This window comes from Homo sapiens, chromosome 14 (genome assembly GCF_000001405.40).
Source record: "Homo sapiens chromosome 14, GRCh38.p14 Primary Assembly".
Taxonomy (NCBI): Eukaryota; Metazoa; Chordata; class Mammalia; order Primates; family Hominidae; genus Homo; species Homo sapiens.
Genome location: NC_000014.9, coordinates 31,546,350 through 31,565,154, shown reverse-complemented (window position 1 = coordinate 31,565,154; position 18,805 = coordinate 31,546,350). Strand labels below are relative to the sequence as shown.

The following is an 18,805-nucleotide window of genomic DNA, read 5'->3' as shown; positions in this document are numbered from 1 at the left end:
ACTACACTATAGCTTCTGACAGAGTAAATAAAAAACACCAATATGCTCTTTATCATTGCCTTAAAAACATTTTAATAAATTAATATTTCTATTAATAAACACCTACCGAATCGTTCGCTGCTAGTGCAAGTGCAAGATTCACTGTAAGAAACAAAAAAAGTAATTGAATTTAGTAACTTTCCTTCTATTAAAATTCATTTTATCTTTTAATATTTTCATGTAATTTTTAATAATTTCATGTAATTTTAATATTTTCATGTAATAACCTAAGCATATAAATTTTGAACATATATCCCTTACTTGTAAAGAGCAAGCACATGGAGGAACACAGAAAGTAAAAAGAAAAGTAAAAAAGTAATTTGCCAATAAATGCAATAGATGCATGTCCCAAAACTAACATTTTTAAAAATCCATTTCTGTTACAATTTTGTTCAAATAATCCACTTAATTTTTTAAAATCATGTTAATATATAATTCAATTATTTTCAAAACCATATTTTATAGAAAAATTGTCTTTTTATTTTAAAAAATGTACACAATCTCATTGCCTTTCATTTATGATTACTATGCTCTGTCCCCCAGGCTGGAGTTGGGACCACAGGTGGGCACCACCACACCCAGCTCATTTTTTTTTTTTTTTTTTTTTTTTACAGACAGGGTCTTGCCATGTTGCCCTGGCTCAAGCAATCCTCCCACCTCAGCCTCCCAAAGTGCTGGCATTACAGGCATGAGCCACCGCATCCTGCCCCTACTGCCTTTTAAAAATAAATGCTGATATTGCAGGAGTTCCAAGTATCTAATTCATAAATACTCATGTATATGAAAGGCTGGACTACTGTGCACAGAGGGAAGGGAAAAGGGTAAAAGGTAAGAGAGTAAAATGTGTTCCCAAACTGCTTATGCTGACGAATCCCATAAAGAAGGAAAGCAGTAGTCCCAAAGCCAGCTTTAGACCAGCAATAGGAATATGCTACATCCGAGAAGAGTAACACAATTCAAAGACTGATCAACAAATAGGCGCTCATAATGTGAATCACATTTCCTTACAGAACAATGGTATAAACTATGTCAGGGTTATTTTCTTAAAACTAGTTAAGAGCATAAATTTTTAAGGCAGACCTGGTTCAAATCCCAGCTCTGCCACCTTCTATTGTGTACTCTTGAGTAGGTTATTTTACCCATAAGTCTGTTTTCTCTTCTATAAAATGAAAACAATGCCTACTTCATAACTGTGATCAGGATTAAACGAAATATTGCATGTAAAATACTTAGCCTAGGGCAAAGACTTGATAAATTCGTTTTTATAAGTTACAAAATTCTGAATTTCAGGTACAAGATAGGTTACACATAATACAACTTTAAGGCAGAAACTTTCAGAGGGCAATTCATTTTAGAGTTAGGTTCTTCCTACATTTAAACAATAGAATCACTGAGCATATTTGCATTAGTCAAATGTCATCATTCTAATCTAAAACATCTCTAGCATGTATATTCAAATGGGAAGTATTTTGAAGTAGTTTGAGGCAGGAATAAATACATATAAGGAAAAGAAATATATTAATAATACCAATAGAGTTACATAAAAATAACCTATTTTTAAGACTTAGATATGCTCACAGAGCTGTTATGAAAAAGTATGGGCCAGCTTTTCGGGACAGATGGTATAATGTTAACAGAAAAAAAGTGAGAAAGGGACATTTACTGAAGCACCCATTACGTGTCACATGTTGTACACTTTCTCATACATTTTCCTGTTTAAATGCTTTCACATTTCATGGCAACAATCATCTTCCAACTAAAAATAATAAACAAACAATCTTAAACAAGTGCCAGCCTACAGACCCAACAAATTACAAAACGCAAAGAACTTATGGCTACAATCATGAAAACACCTTCCATCCTTATCCAGTTCAAGTAATCACAGAGCATGCAAAAGGATTCAAACCACTGAAAACTGAAAAATGTACTCCAAAAGGTTCTAGAACCAAAAACTAAGAGCTTCTAAATTTTAAAAACAACCAGATGGATTGTAAACCTTTAGGAAAGAAAGGAAAAATGTGCAGGAGAGCACATGAATTCATTAAGAACAGATTATTAATTTTTTTTAACAATATGGTATCTATCAAATAGTAATGGATTAGTGATCCACCACAAATACAATATTTGGTAAATCTTAACTTTTCCAAAACATCTGACAAATTCTTCCAGAATTCCCTTCTGATAAAAATGGGGAAAAATGAGCTAGTAGGCAGGGCGCGATGGCTCACACCTGTAATCCCAGCACTTTGGGAGGGCTAGGCGGGCGGATCACGAGATCAGGAGATGGAGACCATCCTGGTTAACACGGTGAAACCCCGTCTCTACTAAAAATACAAAAAAAAAATTAGCCGGGCGTGGTGGTGGGCGCCTGTAGTCCCAGCTACTTGGGAGGCTGAGGCAGGAGAATGGCGTGAACCCCGGGAGGCGGAGCTTACAGTGAGCCGAGATTGCGCCACTGCACTACAGCCTGGGTGACAGAGCGAGATTCCGTCTCAAAAAAAAAAAAAAAAACAAAAAAAAAAAGTTACTAGATGTTTTAAAAATAACAGCAACCAATTATTGAACACTAGTAAACACTAAGCTAAGTGGTTAGCTTGTGCAATTTGAATAACCATCTTATGAAAGAAGTTATCTCCATTTTACAGTTAAGTGAACTGAAGATTTGCTGTACAATCTGACCACTTTTTCCTGAGTTAAGGGGTGGGAGACCCGGCTAGTACCTACTTTTGTCTAACTCCAAAATCTAAGCGTCTACCCGCTACCAACTCCTGAAACTAAGGAATCACATGTTAGGAACTTCACAAATAAATTTTTAAAACACAAAACTATAATTTCAATAGTGTGCACTTGTCTGTTGGCATAAGTTCTTAATCAGGAATAGAATTAATATCCTATAATACCTGCTGTAGTAGATTTTCCGACTCCACCCTTTCCAGAAGCCACAACTATAACTTGTTTAACACCTTCTATCGGTTTCTGCTTTGGAAGTCCTCGGGACATGATTTGTGTTCTTCTTTGTTTTAGGGTCTCACTCCCGGCGCCAGACAACTTTAAAAAATAATAATAATAAAAAGCCGTTTTAAATAAGCCATCTCCATCATCACACTGTAAAAGCAAAAACAATCTGGGGTTTGCAATTAAGAGGGCTTTCTTTTCTAATTCTGCTCATCTTCACTATGGAGACATTTACCTACTACTACTGATAACAATTGTAAAGACACATTGCTTAAATTGAAATTTTTCTAGCAGGATACGCTGAACGTTTAAAAATGTAAAAACGCTGCCTCTTTACGGAGATAAGGCTTCCACGTGTTTTGCTTTTCTTCAATCTATTTGATAAATAACCCAAAGCCAAGAAAGCAATGTAGAATACCACATCTACGTTCTAACTGTGTTTCAAGTCCCGCCACGCCTCAGCCTGGGCCTGCCTGAAAAGTAGGCACGTCCAGCACACTGGGGGTCTCAGGAACTGAGGCGAGTCTTTGGCAAGAAGCAATGCCAGGGCATCTGCGGCCCTGCAGCCCAGCATCTGTCAGCCCGCTTCCCCCTGCCCTGCAGCACCACGGACCTGGCGCCCACAAACCATCGCTCGGCTTCCCCCAAGCGGGGCAGTGGCCCCGCCACCAGCCCGGAGCGACACCCCACCAAAAAGCAGCAGACGCTGCCAAATCCCCATGACGCGGAACGCTGCTGTGAGCCCTGCTGGGAAACTGTCGCGGGTGGCGCGGAGTGATGACGTCACGGAGCAACGCTCGGCTTTCTCTTCCTAGCAACCGGTCTTCTTTGGGTTTGTTGGCTCAGGAACCCAATCTGCATGATCTTGTTTATAGCCAGCTACAAACATTTTGCAGCGTTTTACTAAACGTTTGTGAAGTGTTGTCATATAAAACATCTCTTATGATACTTACAGAAGTCCCGAGGTAGACAGAAGACTTACCTAGTATACTCTTTTTATGGACAAGAAAACGGAGAAAGTTTAAAGAGACTTGACCCAGCTTAACAAAAGTAGGAAATGGGGGACCTTGAAAATGACCCCAGGATTTCTTACTAAGCAGTATATGGTCATTTAAATACTACCACCGTTAAGGATTTTACCTTTTTATTTTATTTTTTCCCGTGTGATCTACAGTGAGAGTCTGTTTTGCGTTGGTATTCATGGCTTGTGTTGCTGACAGTTCCCTGAAAGAAAGGTCAGGTTGCTTTACCAGCAACCTGGTAAAGAACTTTGCAAGTTCTTCCAGACTTAAGACTCATTTATTTAACAAATATTCGTTGAGCAACTACTATGTACCGAGTACTACAGTAGACTTAAAATATTCAGCATTGAGACCGACATAATTCCTCCACTAAAGGGCTTTATAATCCAGTGCAAAAGACAGAATAAGTTAACAACAAAATTGCGGTATAATATGATAAGTACAGGAGAAAAGCATTGAGGGATACAGGAGAAAGGACAAAGTGATACAAAGAAAGGGCACTCAATTCAATCAGGGGAAGCTTCTAAATTAGGTAATATCTAAGCTGAATGCTGAATCTGAATAATGTGTAGAAGTTAGCTGGGAGAATGGCAAGGAGATTGTTGTAAAGAGGTTAGAAATGGACTGCTAAGGCTAGGCATGGTGGCTCACGCGTGTAATTCCAACACTTTGGGAGGCCAAAGCAAGAGGATTGCTTGAGCCAGGAGTTCAAGGATGCAGTGAGCTATGATTGCACCACTGCACTCCAGCGTGGGCAGCAGAGTGACACCTTGTCAGAAGAAGAAGAAAGAAGGAAGGAGGAAGGAGGAAGAGGAAATTAAAAGGAGAAGAAAGAAGAAGGAAGAAGAAAGAAGAAGAGAGTAGAAGGAAGAAAGATGAAAGAAGAGAGAAAAGCCCCCGCCCGGCCAGCTGCCCCGTCCGGGAGGGACGTGGGGGGCAGCCCCCATCCGGTCAGCCGCCCCGTCCCGGAGGGAGGTGGGGGGCAGACCCCGCCCGGCCGCCACCCCGTCCGGGAGGTGGAGTCACCTCTGCCCGGCCACCCCGTCTGGGAAGTGAGGGGCCCCTCTGCCCAGCCGCCACCCTGTCTAGGAGGTGTACCCAACAGCTCATTGAGAACGGGCCATGATGACGATGGCGGTTTTGTCGAATAGAAAAGGGGGAAATGTGGGGAAAGGAAAGAGAGATCAGATTGTTACTGTGTCTGTGTAGAAAGAAGTAGACATAGGAGACTCCATTTTGTTCTGTACTAAGAAAAATTATTCTGCCTTGGGATGCTGTTAATCTATAACCTTACCCCCAACCCCGTGCTCTCTGAAACATGTGCTGTGTCCACTCAGGGTTAAATGGATTAAGGGCGGTGCAAGATGTGCTTTGTTAAACAGATGCTTGAAGGCAGCATGCTCGTTAAGAGTCATCACCACTCCCTAATCTCAAGTACCCAGGGACACAAACACTGCGGAAGGCCGCAGGGTCCTCTGCCTAGGAAAACCAGAGACCCTTGTTCACATGTTTATCTGCTGACCTTCCCTCCACTATTGTCCTATGACCCTGCCAAATCCCCCGCTCCGAGAAATACCCAAGAATGATCAATAAATACTAAAAAATAAAAATAAAAAAATAAAAAAGATATCAAAAATAAAAATAAAAAAAGAAAGAAGAGAGAAAAGAAGAGAGAACACAAGAGGAGTAGAAAATACATTTCTTTTCTGGATTGTTAAGAACTGTAAATGATCTGTGCAACTTAGGACAAAGTGACTAAAAGAGATGAGGATGGAGTGAAGGTTGGTTAGATGGAGGTTGCCTAAATCAAGAAAGGCTGTATATATCTTGTAAAGAAATTTGGACTTTATCCTAAGGGAACTATAGAAGGATTTTAAGCAGGAAAGTAACATCAGATTTGTGTTTTAGAAATACCACTATGATTACTGGGTTAAAAAAGAAATGGATCAGCGGGGCAAGATCAGAGACAAGGAGACATGAGGTCTCTCTCTTGAAGGCTTGACTTAACATCTCTAAATTTCACTTTGTTATCAATAAAATAGTTAATTCCTACTTCTATGGTTGTTGTGAGGTTGAACTTAAGATAATGCATGTAGAACAGCTGTCACAGAGTTAGTAATTGTTAGCTATTGTGGTAATCATTGGTTGTGTAGAGGTTTATGACATGAGCAACTAGATGAATTCCCTGAGAGAAAACATAAGAGGAGGAGCAAGTGAGAATAATGTTTGTAGAATGGCTGAATCATTACTTTGGTTTACCTTTCCCCAAATTAAAATTTTAGGAGAGTAGTAGAGATGTTTCTTCTCCAAAAAACACTGACACACATATACATATCCATGGCCTCTTTTCAAAAGGGTATTCTCCTTTGGTCCTAAGAATTGCTAAGTCATTTGACCCCATTCCCAAGGTCACTAATTGGACTAAAGACTGATGTACAACCAAAAAATTGACCAATCAGATTAATTCTCCAGAGAGCCTGGAAAATAAAAGTAACAGGTGTTAGTCAATCTTAGTTTGTCTTTGAGCTAATACAGTTGAAATTACTATTTTCTACTATGTGCATGCAGAAGCAGATAAAGCCAATGCAAGAGAGAAGAAGAAAGTAGATCATAAGAGATCATGTTACCATAGAGGAAAGGGAGAAGAGCTGCACTGGTTCATAACTTTTCAGTTCCTGGTTCCAGTTCATAATGAGGTTCAACCGGACTTCCTATCCTTAGGTCCATAAGATATACTTACATCCACCCAATAAATTTACTGTCTTAGTCTAATTTGGATGGGTTTCTGTGTATTTGTAACTATGCTGAGATATATTTTTAAATATGTGTCAATAATTTTCTCCCTATAATTCCTTGTATCTCGCATAGCCCTTCCCCATTTGGACAAATTATATGGAATCATTTTCTGACACAGCAAAATGTCTGACCCAATAAAAATGTCAGAGAAAAGAGGTTGTTTTCTTGGTTTTGAATTTTGGAAGTTGGGACCTTTTAGAAGAATGGAGACAGCTCTGGCAAAGACAATAGATTGGAAGACCTACATAGTGATATAAAAACATGATTTATTGCCTATATTAGTTAGGATTACATTTGGCTGCAAGTAGCAGATAACTCTACAGTTGTATTAAACAAGTAGGGGTATATTAGTCTTATATGAAAAGTTCAGAATTATATCACAGAGGTCCAATACGATGAATCCATAGTGCCGTCATGTTCCAAATCAATTCTTTTTGTTCCATCATCTTGGTATCCTTGGTATCCATTTTCATCCCCTCATAGTCATGAGATGTTTGTTGTACCTTCAGGCATCAAAGCTATGTTCCATATAGGAAGAGGAGGGAATGACAAAGAGAATTTCCTAGTGAGCCTTTGCCTTTTTTATTCAGGAAAGGAAGACACACACACACACACACACACACACCCGACTGGCTAGAACCGGGTCACATGACCATCCTTAGAACCAAGAGAAACTGAGAAATTAAGCATTTAGAGCTCTCTAACCTGTAGAGTAGAGGAAAGCAATGGAGAATGTGACTGGAAGTGGGTAGTCAATGAGCCAAGTTAGTATCTGTCCTAGACAGACTATAACAAGTTTCCTGGGATTATGAGGGATGAAGAGAATCTGAAGAAAACTGAGAACTTAAATATCCATGGGTTCTTGTACCAGTCATTTGTAATTGGCTAACCCAATGTGGTAAAGGGAAATTTTTCTGGGAAGTTTCTGAGAAAGCTTTTGCTTTTCTGATTGAGTGGAACGTAGTTGGTGCTAACTCCTTTTTCCCACCTTGACCATGGATGTGACATGGAGATGTGGCAGTCATCTTGTGAACATGAAAAGCACAATAATGACAACCACAATAATAGAAGCCAAAAGCTGAGGAAGACAAAGAGGAAATATGGCAAGAAGATGAATTCTTGGCAGTATAACTAAGCTGCTATACCAGTCCTGGTCTGCATTTCCAGACCTCTGGTTATGTGAGATATTTAAGCCACTGTTGGCTAGGATTTCTGTTATTTGAGCTACAATAATCTGTGCCTGTTACAGCGAATAAGAAGGACTCCCATACTCTGAGACTACCTCTCTCCTGTTCACCCAAGATTAATCTCTAGTGGGGAGGGGGGACAACAGAACCCCAAATCAGCTTGGGGGATGTGAAAACAACAGAATCAATGTCCCCATTACCAGGTGGAGCTCAGTGCAGTGGCAGAACCACAGAATAAGAATGGTTGAGTGTTATGTTTAGGCAGATAGATAGATCTGAGTGAGCCACAAAGTGGCTAAGAGAATGCTGATCCTAAAGAGTCCTTAAGGTCAAGAATTAGGGAACATTTGGCAACAATCTGCATGGTTAGTTATTAGCATCTCCATGGATGCTGGTATGCATAGATAAATACCTTGAAGATGAAGTTCACCTCAGCATGTGGATATCTGGACACTGCATAGGCTGTCTGTGACTTAGCTACAATCCTGGTGGAATCTGTATTGAACAAGATTTTCCCCCACCCTGACAGAAATTTATAAATAAATAAATAAATACTGATCAAAATAAAGAAGATTCTTTTGAATATCTCCTAATTATGTGTAGAGTAATACCTTGTATTGTTTTCTAAAAAGGAAGGATTTATACCTGTAAGGTTGCCCTCGTTCCTCCCAAAAGACAACCCTTCTTAGGTGACTAAGGACTCACTGAAGTTTCAGATTCCCTCACAGATAAGAAGACTACCTCATTCCCTTTCCATAGGCCTCAGGCTGTGTCAATGTCAGCTGAGAACGTGTGATCCACTCCCTTGCTCAACTCACTAAGGAAGAATAGGGTATCTTGGACAGTTTGTCTCTGTTGAATATACTGAATAAAGCTCAGAAACTTATTTCAGTTCCTTTAGTTTGAGGTTACTGTCCACAACTGACCTTCTCATCCTGTCCAAAGGCTCACCAAAAAGAAAACCTTATCCCATCTATGGGACTTGTCTAAATGGCAACCCCCTTAATTGACCCTACTTTGCCTCACACTGTGATTTGTTTTCAAACCTCCCTGTTCATGGCTCCAAGCATGAAACTGTCTCTTAGCTACATTGAATACTAATTTGCACATTGAAATATAGAATAAATCTGTTTAAGTGAATAGCTCCCACAATGAGCCACTCTCTCAATATGAAATGTGATCTAGAAATTCATGGCCTTTCCCCTATCAAAGACTTTGCTGGCCTTTCAGCATCTTAACTGGCATAAACTAGTCCTGTCAAAGACGTTCCCCATTCTTATAATTTAAAATTACATAAAGGAAATGTATGTATCTTTGTAGATGGGATAGACTTCAGAGAATATGCCTCAAATGACTAAAAATACACCTCTATACTTTGACAGCATGTGTTTCTAAATGCCCATATCCAAAGCTGAATAAATCATGAATGATTTGACATTTGAATTTCTGATTTACAAGACTGAACTGAATCCTTGGACAAAGGTCACAGGCTTGCTTTATACCTGAATATAGTCTCTGATTAATGTTTAAAGCTTCAAAGAGCCCATCCTGAAACAGGAGCCACACAATCAGAATTTGGAAAAAAATTTGTCACCCAAGACAAATATTTGCGAGGCACGGAACCCCAGAATTCCCATGTTTTTGCTTTTTCATTTTCTCCAGTACCAAACAAGTATTCCTTTAGCCAAGCCCCTCCCACCTTTCAATTCTTAGAGACTAGAGAACATAAGTTTCTACAAGACTTTGCTGAAACCTTACTTCATTAGGTATTCAGAAGAGGATTTTCCTGTTTTTACTTTAGAGGACATACCAAGGACAATGACAGAGACCCATCATGATACCAAGCATTCATTTCAGCTCATGTGAAGTTCTGTTTTCTTCAGGAAAAATGAGATAATGTAGATGTTTGTCTGTTTTATGCTGCTGCCAAAATGTGAGGATGTTCTCTATAATCGTGTGGCTTGGATAATATCTTATCTACTTGGTGTTCTGGTACCCAATCTTGTTGATTCATTTATTAACCTTTTCTATTTAGAATTTATTAACCATACATAAAGATATTATACATGATATGCGATAAATACAGCAGATCCAGAATTCATTAAATCTGTTTATTATTCATTCATTCATAGAGACAGGGTCTTCCCATGTTTCCTAGGCTGGCCTTGAACTCCTGAGCTCAGGCAATCCTCCCACCTCATCCTCCCAAAGTGCCAGGGTTACAGGCATGAGCCACCGCACCTGGCCCTGTTCAATCCATTTATATGAGTGAGGAACTCCTACAACTTACTGTAATCTCTCAAAGTACATCCTATATTCTCACTTAGAGCAACAGAGCAGAAATACAAACATCAAGGATTGTAACATCAATTTATTCCAGGGTAGATCGGCAAACTTAAAAGTGTGATGTTTGTCTTCTGTCTTCCACACAGCTCTATCACTGCTTGTAGTGCTTCAATTCATACCAACTATACTTATAGGCACTATTTGGGTCTATTTTCCACAGCATCTTCTGTGACTTAACTATATAATGTTTGGAAAGAGGATTTCCCTGACCGTCTATGATACTAGCTTTGTAAATCCTATTAAAGACCATCAATTAACCATAACTCAATAATCCAAACACTATTGAAGTGATAACTACTCATCTTTCTCATGCTTTTCCAGTCTTTGTTAGTCTTCAAAACAGACAAAATGTTTTTGCATATAAGATGTTAATTTGGGGCATAATTGTTTTAAGGAGTGTAATAGCTGGTGTTCTGACTTGGTTAGAAATTCAAACAGCTCTTTTAGATACCTGATGAAGTTTTGTTAGTTAATCAAAGGCTTTATTATATCAATGCCACATTTAATCTCTTTTGCAAATTTCTAATCATGTGCAAGAATTTCTATTTTATTTAACCATGGCTGTTTTTGTGGGGGAACATGCTGGCAATGTGCTGTTGAGAATTTCATTTTCCATAGATATCTGTTACCAGTATAACAAAATTGACAGCATCTGCTGATGAAATGCACTACTCAAAAAAATTTTTTTAAGATTTGTACTTTTCTCCAATATTTTTCTGAAGTACAGCTCTTTACATCTTTTCCAGGGTCTGATGGAAGGCTTTCTCATTTCACAGCTGACAGCACTGGAGACAGAGCAGGATCACAGAAGAAGAAAATAATGTACTTAGCACCTTGTGCTTATTAGTTTGTGATACTATATCGCTAACTGGAAATTCTATTAAGCCATTCCCACCAATTGCTTCTGGATTATAGAATTAATTGGATATGAATTGCTAATAAGCATCTGAGTTTACCCTCTCTTTTCACTCTACCATATGTCAAATTAATCCATTCTTTTTCCACAGACTCTAAGATGGCCCCCAGTGGTCCTCACCTCTTGGTATTCTCACCCTTGTGTAAGTCCCTCCCGAGAGTGAGCAGGACCTAGAACTTGCTTCTAATCAATAAAATGCAACAAAACTGATAGATATCACTTCTATGATTATATTACACAACATGGTATATCTGTCTTGCTAGGAGACCCTCAACTGGCTCTGAGAAAGCAAGCTATCATCTTGTGAAATGCCCTGTGGAAAAGCCCATGTAGCAAAGGACAGCCAATAGCCAACAGAAAGCTGATGCCCTCAGTCCAACAGCCTGCAAGAAACTGAATTCTGCCAGCAACCATGTGAGATTGGAAGCAGATTCTTCCGTGCAGTCTTGTGAGAGATTATGAAGCAAAGGACTCAAGTTGTGCCCAGATTCCTGACCCACAGATACCGTGTGATAATAAATGCATATTGTCTTAAACCACCAAGTTTGTGCAATTTTTATGCAGCAATAGATAACTAATACTCAATAACCTAGATTTTAATAAGTCTACAGTCAAGGTATAGTTTCTTGTGAGCAATTCTTTTTTGCCATTTGTGGAAAAAATTGCACATTTTGTTACAAAATTAAAACCTTTGTGTAGTTTGAATCTTTGTTGAGAGTTATTAAATGTTATTAACTATTAATAATTCATTCATTTTATAATATTAATTGCCAACCCCATAAAATAATATTTTAATATTAGATACTAGAGAATAGAGACATTTGTGAAACAAAGAGATTCTTAGAATCTCTTTGTTTCACAAATCAAATTATATTTTTCTTAGTAATGGTTGAACCCACTCAAGTCATTTCCAAGTGAAAGAAAAATTAAACATGATTATAATTCTTGTTCTACTCTTCTCTCCATGACCACTCTTCTCTTCAGTGGTTATATAAGAAATTAGTTTCATCTCCATTCTCTGTCTACATTAGCAGTTCATCATCATTCTTCAATTATGTAAATAATATGGATACAAGCATGAAGAAGGCAATTTTTTGTACATAATGTATAAATAAAAAGTAATATAAACAAGAATTTTCCAGTGACACCCTAAATAACTGCTAACTGTATCATTGTAAATCAGCCTAGTTCATGAAAAAAGATTCAGTACATATGAAGCATTCAATTAATCATACTGCACAGACACCATAGAGTTATCTAAACCCAAGGAAAAATATTATTAATGCTATTATAATCTTTGGAGACAACCAAGTCAATGCTGCAGACAACACTGCAGATTTTGTCCCTAAAAATATCTTCATAGAATCTTCATTGAACCATAATCTGTACATTTCTCATTTTCTCCAGTTTTATTGAGGTGTAATATAATTGATAAATAAAAATTGTATATATTCATTTTCACAACTGCCATGAGATTGACAGGGCAGTTATTATTAGTCCTATTACTGCATATGGAAATGAGGAATCAAAGAGTTTAGATTATTTGTTTTAGGGCAAATTGCTGAAAGCAATATGGAGATGGAGGTCTCTTATTACCTATACAGGACTACTGCATGCTACTGACAAAAGAGTATTCCCTTAGGACCAGCTACCATAAGAGAAGCGCCTGGGGGAAATATCACTACTTCTGCAGAAAGAAATCTGAATGCCTACTTCACGACTTAATTTACCTCTAAGCTTCTCATATAAATCTGTGTTTCATTAGTTTTAGTTAAAAGTAATTTATTTCAGAAGCCCATAAACATATGTAATGTCCTTGTCTTGAACTGCATTGAAATTGCATTTTAATTTATAAGGTATTCAAGTTTTTATTAACATATTTGTTGTGTCCCGATTATAATAGTTTATAATCCCTCTACCCTTCCTAATTCCATCATTCCTTGAAATTCTGTCTCAAATTTTTCTTTTTCTATAGACTTCTCTGATAATTTCATCAAGCATTAAACTTCACCTTCCTTAACAGTTAACATTTTATTTAATAGAACATGAATTTAAGGTGCAGTTTGATTGCTTTCATTTTATAAATTGAAGTTAGCAATGCTAGCCTATGTCAGGTCTCTCTCATACAATCTTTTCTTTTTTCTTTTTTTTTTTTTTTTTTTTTTTTTGGGGTCAGAGTCTTGCTCTGTCACCCCTGCTGGAGTGCAGTGGCATGATATCGGCTCACTGCAACCTCTGCCTCCCCGGCTCAAGCGATTGTCCTGCCTCAGCCTCCTGAGTAGCTGGGATTACAGGCACTTGCCACCACACCTAGCTAATTTTTGTATTTTTAGTAGAGACGGGGTTTCACCATGTTGTCCAGGCTGTTCTCAAACTCCTGACCTCAGGTGATCTGCCCGCCTTGGCCTCCCAAAGTGCTGGGATTATAGGCGTGAGCCACCGTACCTGGCCCCTTTTACTATTTTCATATGTCTTCTATTACATAGAGCTATGTGGTATTTGAGGAACAAAAGTATATTATAATGATAATTTATATCACCTATATGTAGCACAGCGCCAGGCACATTGTAGGGGATCAGGAGTTAGTGAGTGGTTAGCTATTATAAAAGCAATGCATACTGGAAATATCAGTGGAGTAGAGAGATAGAAAAGCCTGGGATGTTGTCAGAACTCTGCTACTAACTAGCCGCATGGCCTCAGACAAATCATTTAACTCTAAATCTGTTTACTTCATACACCATGAAGGGATTAAATGAAATAATCTGTAGATTCTTCTTCCAAGCTCATATTGAATTAAAATAAGAACTGAAGAGAACAAAGTTGTGTAACTTCACTGTTCCTAAAATACTTTTGAGAAAATAAAGGCAAATAGTTTAGAGATGCTGCAGACCAGAAAAAGCACAAGGTATATTTTCTTCCTTAAAGAACACAAATTGAAGTGTTATAAATGGATTTTTCACACTTACCATCATTTTCACCTTTACCTCTATTCTCATCATTTGTTCATCTTGGGAATAGTTTCTTGTCTGCCTTTTGGGAACTAGATTATTGACTTTTCATGTTCCAGGGAGTCTGCAACTCTGACCCCAGTTTCAGTCAAAGAAATTGTTGTCCAAAGTCCTTCTGAGTAAACAACACAAAATAGAAGTATTTTGTAGACTATTATAGGCTCTCTTCTTGCCTAAAACACAGAAGGCTGATCAGACCCTGTTTTCCTTTCGCCAAAGTATTAAAATACATCGACCAACATAGATATCCATTCCTGAAAGTCTCAAATTAAAAATATCAAAGTCAATGTTACTTGCACGCTATCTATAGATTCAACAAAACCCCAATCATAATCCCAGCAATTAATGAGATGATTCTAAAATTTCTTGAGAAAGTGCAAAATGAGAGCATTTACTCCTGACTTAGGAGTGATCAAAAGTTTCTTAGATGTGTCACAGAATACAAAAGCCATTTTAAAAAATGTACAAGTTAGGCACGATCAAAATTTAAAACTTCTGCACATCAAAAGATCCCACTAAGAAAATGAATAGCCAATTTGCAATAGCCACAAATAAAATAGAACACCTAGGAATAAACTTAACCAAATAAGTGAAAGATCTCAGCTGGGCACAACAGCTCACAATTTTTGAGGGTGAGGCAGGTGGATCACTTGAGCCCAGGAGTTTGAGACCAGCCTGGGCAACATGGCAAAATCCCCTCTACTGAAATACAAAAAATTAGCCAGCCATGGTGGTGTGCACCTGTAGTCCCAGCTACTCAGGAGGTTGAGGTGGGAAGATCATCTGAGTCCAGGAAGTTGAGGCTACAGTGAGCCAAGATTGCACCCCTGTATGCCAGCCTGGGCAATGGAAGTGAGACCGTCAAAAAAAAAAAAGAGGGAGAAGAAGGAGAAGGAGGAGGAGGAAGAGGAGGAGCAGGAGGAGGAAGAGAAGGAGGAGAAGGAGGAGAGGAAGAGAGGAAGAAGGAGAAGGAGAAAGAGAAGAAGTTGATATGGTTTGGATTTGTGTATCCACCCAAATCTCACGTTGAGTTGTAATACCCAATGTTGGAGGTGGGGCCTGATGGGAGGTGATTGGATCATGCAGGCAGATTTCCTCCTTTGGTGCTGTTCTACTGATAGAGTTCTTATGAAATCTGGTTTTTTAAAAGTGTGTGGCAACTCCCCCATCTCAGTCTTCCTCCTGCTTTGGCCATGTGAAGATGTGTCTACTTCCCCTTCACATTCTACAATGACCACTTTCCACAATGATTGTAAGTTTCCTGAGGCCTCCCCAGCCACACTTCCTATATAGCCTGCAGAACCATGAGCCAATTAAACCTCTTTTCTTTATAAATTACCCAGTCTCAGATATTTCTTTATAGCAGTGTGAGAATGGACTAATACAGATCTCTAAAATGAAAACTGTAAAACACTAATGAAAAAAATAAAGGAAAAAGATACTCCATGTTCATGGATTGGAAAAATCAATATTGTTAAAATGTCCATAATACCCAAAGCAATCTACAGATTCAATGCAAACCCTATCAAAATACCAATAACATTCTTCACAGAAATAGAAAAAACAATCCTAAAATTTATATGGAACCACAAAGGAACCAGAATAGCCAAAGCAATCATAAGCAAAAAGAACAAAGCTAGAGGCATCAAATTATATTACAAAGCCACCTGACTTCAAATCATACTACAAAGCTATAGTAACCAAAACAACATGGTACTGGCATAAAAACAGACACATACACCAATGGAACAGAATAGAGAACCCAGAAATAAATTCATGCATTTACAGTCAACACATTTTCAATAAAGGGACCAAGAACATACATTAGGAAAAGAACAGTCTCTTCAATAAATGGTGCTGGGGAAACTAGATGTCCATGTGAGAAAGAATGAAACTAGACCCCTATCTCTCACCATACACAAAAGTCAAATCAAAATAAAAACCTAAATCTAAGAGCTGAAACTTGAAACTACTAGAAGAAAACATTGAGGAGATGCTCCAGGACATTGGTTCAGGCAAAGATTTCTTGAGTAAGAACTCAAAAGTATAGGCAAACAAAGCAAAAGTGGGCAAATGAGATCATATCAAGCTAAAAAGCTTCTACACAGCTAAGGAAACAAAGTGAAGAGACCACTCACAGAATGGGAGAAAATATTTGAAAACTACCCATCTGACAAGGGATTAATAACCAGAATACATAAGAAGCTCAAACACCTCAAAAGCAGAAAAAAAAAAGTCTGATTTTTAAGTGAGAAAAAGATCTGAATAGACATTTCTCAAAAGAAGATGTACAAATAAATATATACAGATATTCAGGTTTTTTAAAAATGTTCAACATCACTAATTATCAGATCAAATCAAAGCCGTAATGAGATATCATCTCACCCCAGTTAAAATGGCTTTTGTCAAAAAGACAGGCAATAACAGATGCTGGTGAAGATGTGGAGAAAGGGGAACCCTTCTACACTGTTGGTGGGAATATAAATTAGTACAGCCACTATGGAAAATATGGAACTTCTTCAAAAAACTAAAACTGGCCAAGTGCGGTGGCTCACACCTGTAATCCCAGCACTTTGGGAGGCCGAGGCAGGCAGATCACAAGGTTAGGAGTTCAAGACCAGCCTGGGCAAAATGGTGAAACCCCGTCTCTACTAAAAATACAAAAATTAGCTGGGCGTGGTGGCAGGTGCCTGTAGTCCCAGCTACTTGGGAGGCTGAGGCAGGAGACTCACCTGAACCCGGGAGGCGGAGGTTATAGTGAGCCAAGTTCACGCCACTGAACTCCAGCCTGGGCAACAGAGGGAGACTCCGTCTCAAAAAAAAAAACAAAACAATAAAAAACTAGAAACACCATTTGATCCAGCAATTCCACTGCTGGGTATATAACCAGAAAGAGAGTCAACATATCAAAGAGATATCTGCACTCTCATGTTTATTGCAGCAGTATTCACAATAGCCAAAATATGGAATCAACTTAAGTGTCCATCCATCAACAGATGAATGGATAAAGAAAATGTGGTATATATACACAATAGGATATAATTCAGCCATAAAAAAGAATGAAATCTTGTCACTTGCAACGACATGAATAGAACTGGAGGATATTACGTTAAGTGAAATAAGCCAGGCATAGAAAGACAAATATCATGTGTTCTCACGCATATGTGAAAAACTTGATCTCATGAAGATAGAGAATACATTGATGGTTATCAGAGGCTGGGAAAGGCAGTGTGGAAGGGCGATAAATATGAGCTGGTTAATAGGTACAAAAATCAGTTAGATAGAAGGAATAAGCTCTAGTGTTCAGTAGCAACATAGGGTGACTACAGTTAATAATAATTCATTGTATATTTAAAAATAAATAGAAGAGTGGGATTGGAATCTTCCTAACCCCAAAAAAAAAAAAAAAATAAATGGTTGAGGTGATGGTTATCCCAGTTACCCTGATTTGATCATTACACATTATATGCTTATATCAAAATCTCACATGTACCCCATAAATATATACAACTACCATACTTCCATAAAACTTAAAAATTTTGTTTTTAATTTTTTTAAAAAAAGAAAATGAATAGCCAAGCCACAGACTGGGAGAAAATATTCACAAAACATGTATCCAAAAATGACTCATATCTAGAACTACACTATTTGATATGGTAGTCATCAGTCAATGTAGCTATATCAACGTAAATTGATCAAAATTAAATACAGTTTTTTTCTCAATTACACTAGACACATTTTACAATGAACATTTTGAACAAATGTAGGAAATTCTATTGGACAGCACTGATCTAAAATATAAAGAAATACCAGAACTCACACACAAAAAAAAATTGAATTGAAAAATAGACAAAAGGTTTGAAAAGATGCTTCATAAAAGTGAAGCTACATGAATAGCCATGAGCACATGAAAAAGTGCTCAGTATCATTAGTCAACAGGGAAATACAAATTAAAACTACAATGATGTATCACTACATAATCACCAGAATCTCAAATATTTAAAGAACTGACAAAACCAAACACTGACAAGGTTGTGAGGAAATCGGAACTTTCATACACTTTGTTAGAGGAAATTTTAAGTGGTGCAACCATTTTGGAAAGTGGTCTGGCATTATGAGGCTTAAATATACACCTGTTCTATGACCTAGCAATTGCACTGCTAAGCATTTACCGAAGAGAAATGAAAACATATAGCCAACAAGACTTAATCGGAAATGGTCATAACAGCTTTTTTCGTAGTAGTCTCAAGTAGGAAAATGCCCAGTCAATAAAATAATGGATTTTAAACTTGTGGTATTTTCATAAATAAAAGGCAATTAAGGCTGGGCACAGTGGCTCATGCCTGTAATCTCAGCACTTTGGGAGGCTGAGGCAGGCGGATCACCTGAGGTCAAGAGTTTGAGACCAGCCTGGCCAACATGGCTCCACTTCTATTCATGTTGTTGCAAATGACTATATTTTATTTATGTTTATGGCTGAATAATATCCTATTGTGTATATATACCACATTTTCTTTATATATTCATCTGTTGATG

The 18,805-nt window shown here is 37.9% G+C and overlaps 1 protein-coding gene and 2 long non-coding RNA genes across 13 annotated transcripts in view, besides 3 other annotated features; 1 reads left to right on the top strand and 2 right to left on the bottom strand.

Annotated features, from left to right (window-relative positions):
* NUBPL (NUBP iron-sulfur cluster assembly factor, mitochondrial) overlaps window positions 1-3,751 on the bottom strand; it is a 299,821-nt gene extending 296,070 nt beyond the window's left edge. For 9 of the 10 annotated variants that reach the window (NR_120408.2, XR_007064050.1, NM_025152.3 and 6 more), the window contains exons 1-3: window positions 3,608-3,751; window positions 2,940-3,087; window positions 107-141 (exon numbers count right to left, since the gene is read on the bottom strand). Coding sequence is in view for 7 of the 10 variants with exons in the window: in NM_025152.3 (NP_079428.2) it covers window positions 107-141; window positions 2,940-3,087; window positions 3,608-3,715 (291 nt within the window). In the remaining 3 variants the exon portion in view is untranslated. Of the gene's footprint in view, window positions 1-106; window positions 142-2,939; window positions 3,088-3,607 lie in introns of those variants that run through there. The other variant, XM_047431787.1, reaches the window with a different exon arrangement.
* Window positions 3,027-3,582: an enhancer, noted in NCBI's record as "H3K27ac hESC enhancer chr14:32030779-32031334 (GRCh37/hg19 assembly coordinates)". NCBI's record gives its function as "activates a minimal SCP1, AML or CMV promoter by ChIP-STARR-seq in naive H9 embryonic stem cells {active_cell/tissue: H9 hESC(naive)}" and the evidence as "EXISTENCE:reporter gene assay evidence [ECO:0000049][PMID:30033119]".
* Window positions 3,027-3,908: a biological region, named in NCBI's record as "H3K27ac hESC enhancer GRCh37_chr14:32030779-32031334".
* Window positions 3,509-3,908: an enhancer, noted in NCBI's record as "active region_8237". NCBI's record gives its function as "activates an Ori minimal core promoter by ATAC-STARR-seq in GM12878 lymphoblastoid cells {active_cell/tissue: GM12878}" and the evidence as "EXISTENCE:reporter gene assay evidence [ECO:0000049][PMID:35858748]".
* On the top strand, window positions 3,824-11,656 carry NUBPL-DT (NUBPL divergent transcript). Its single transcript, XR_943720.2, has 3 exons — window positions 3,824-4,044; window positions 11,092-11,167; window positions 11,525-11,656. It is a non-coding gene; the product is annotated as an NUBPL divergent transcript (long non-coding RNA).
* Window positions 7,059-18,805, bottom strand: part of LOC105370438 (uncharacterized) — a 68,133-nt gene continuing 56,386 nt past the window's right edge. Inside the window, exons 3-4 of one of the 2 annotated variants that reach the window (XR_943722.3) lie at window positions 14,228-14,384; window positions 7,059-11,130 (exon numbers count right to left, since the gene is read on the bottom strand). This is a non-coding gene — a long non-coding RNA (uncharacterized LOC105370438). The remainder of the gene's footprint in view (window positions 11,131-14,227; window positions 14,385-18,805) is intronic. The other variant, XR_943723.3, reaches the window with a different exon arrangement.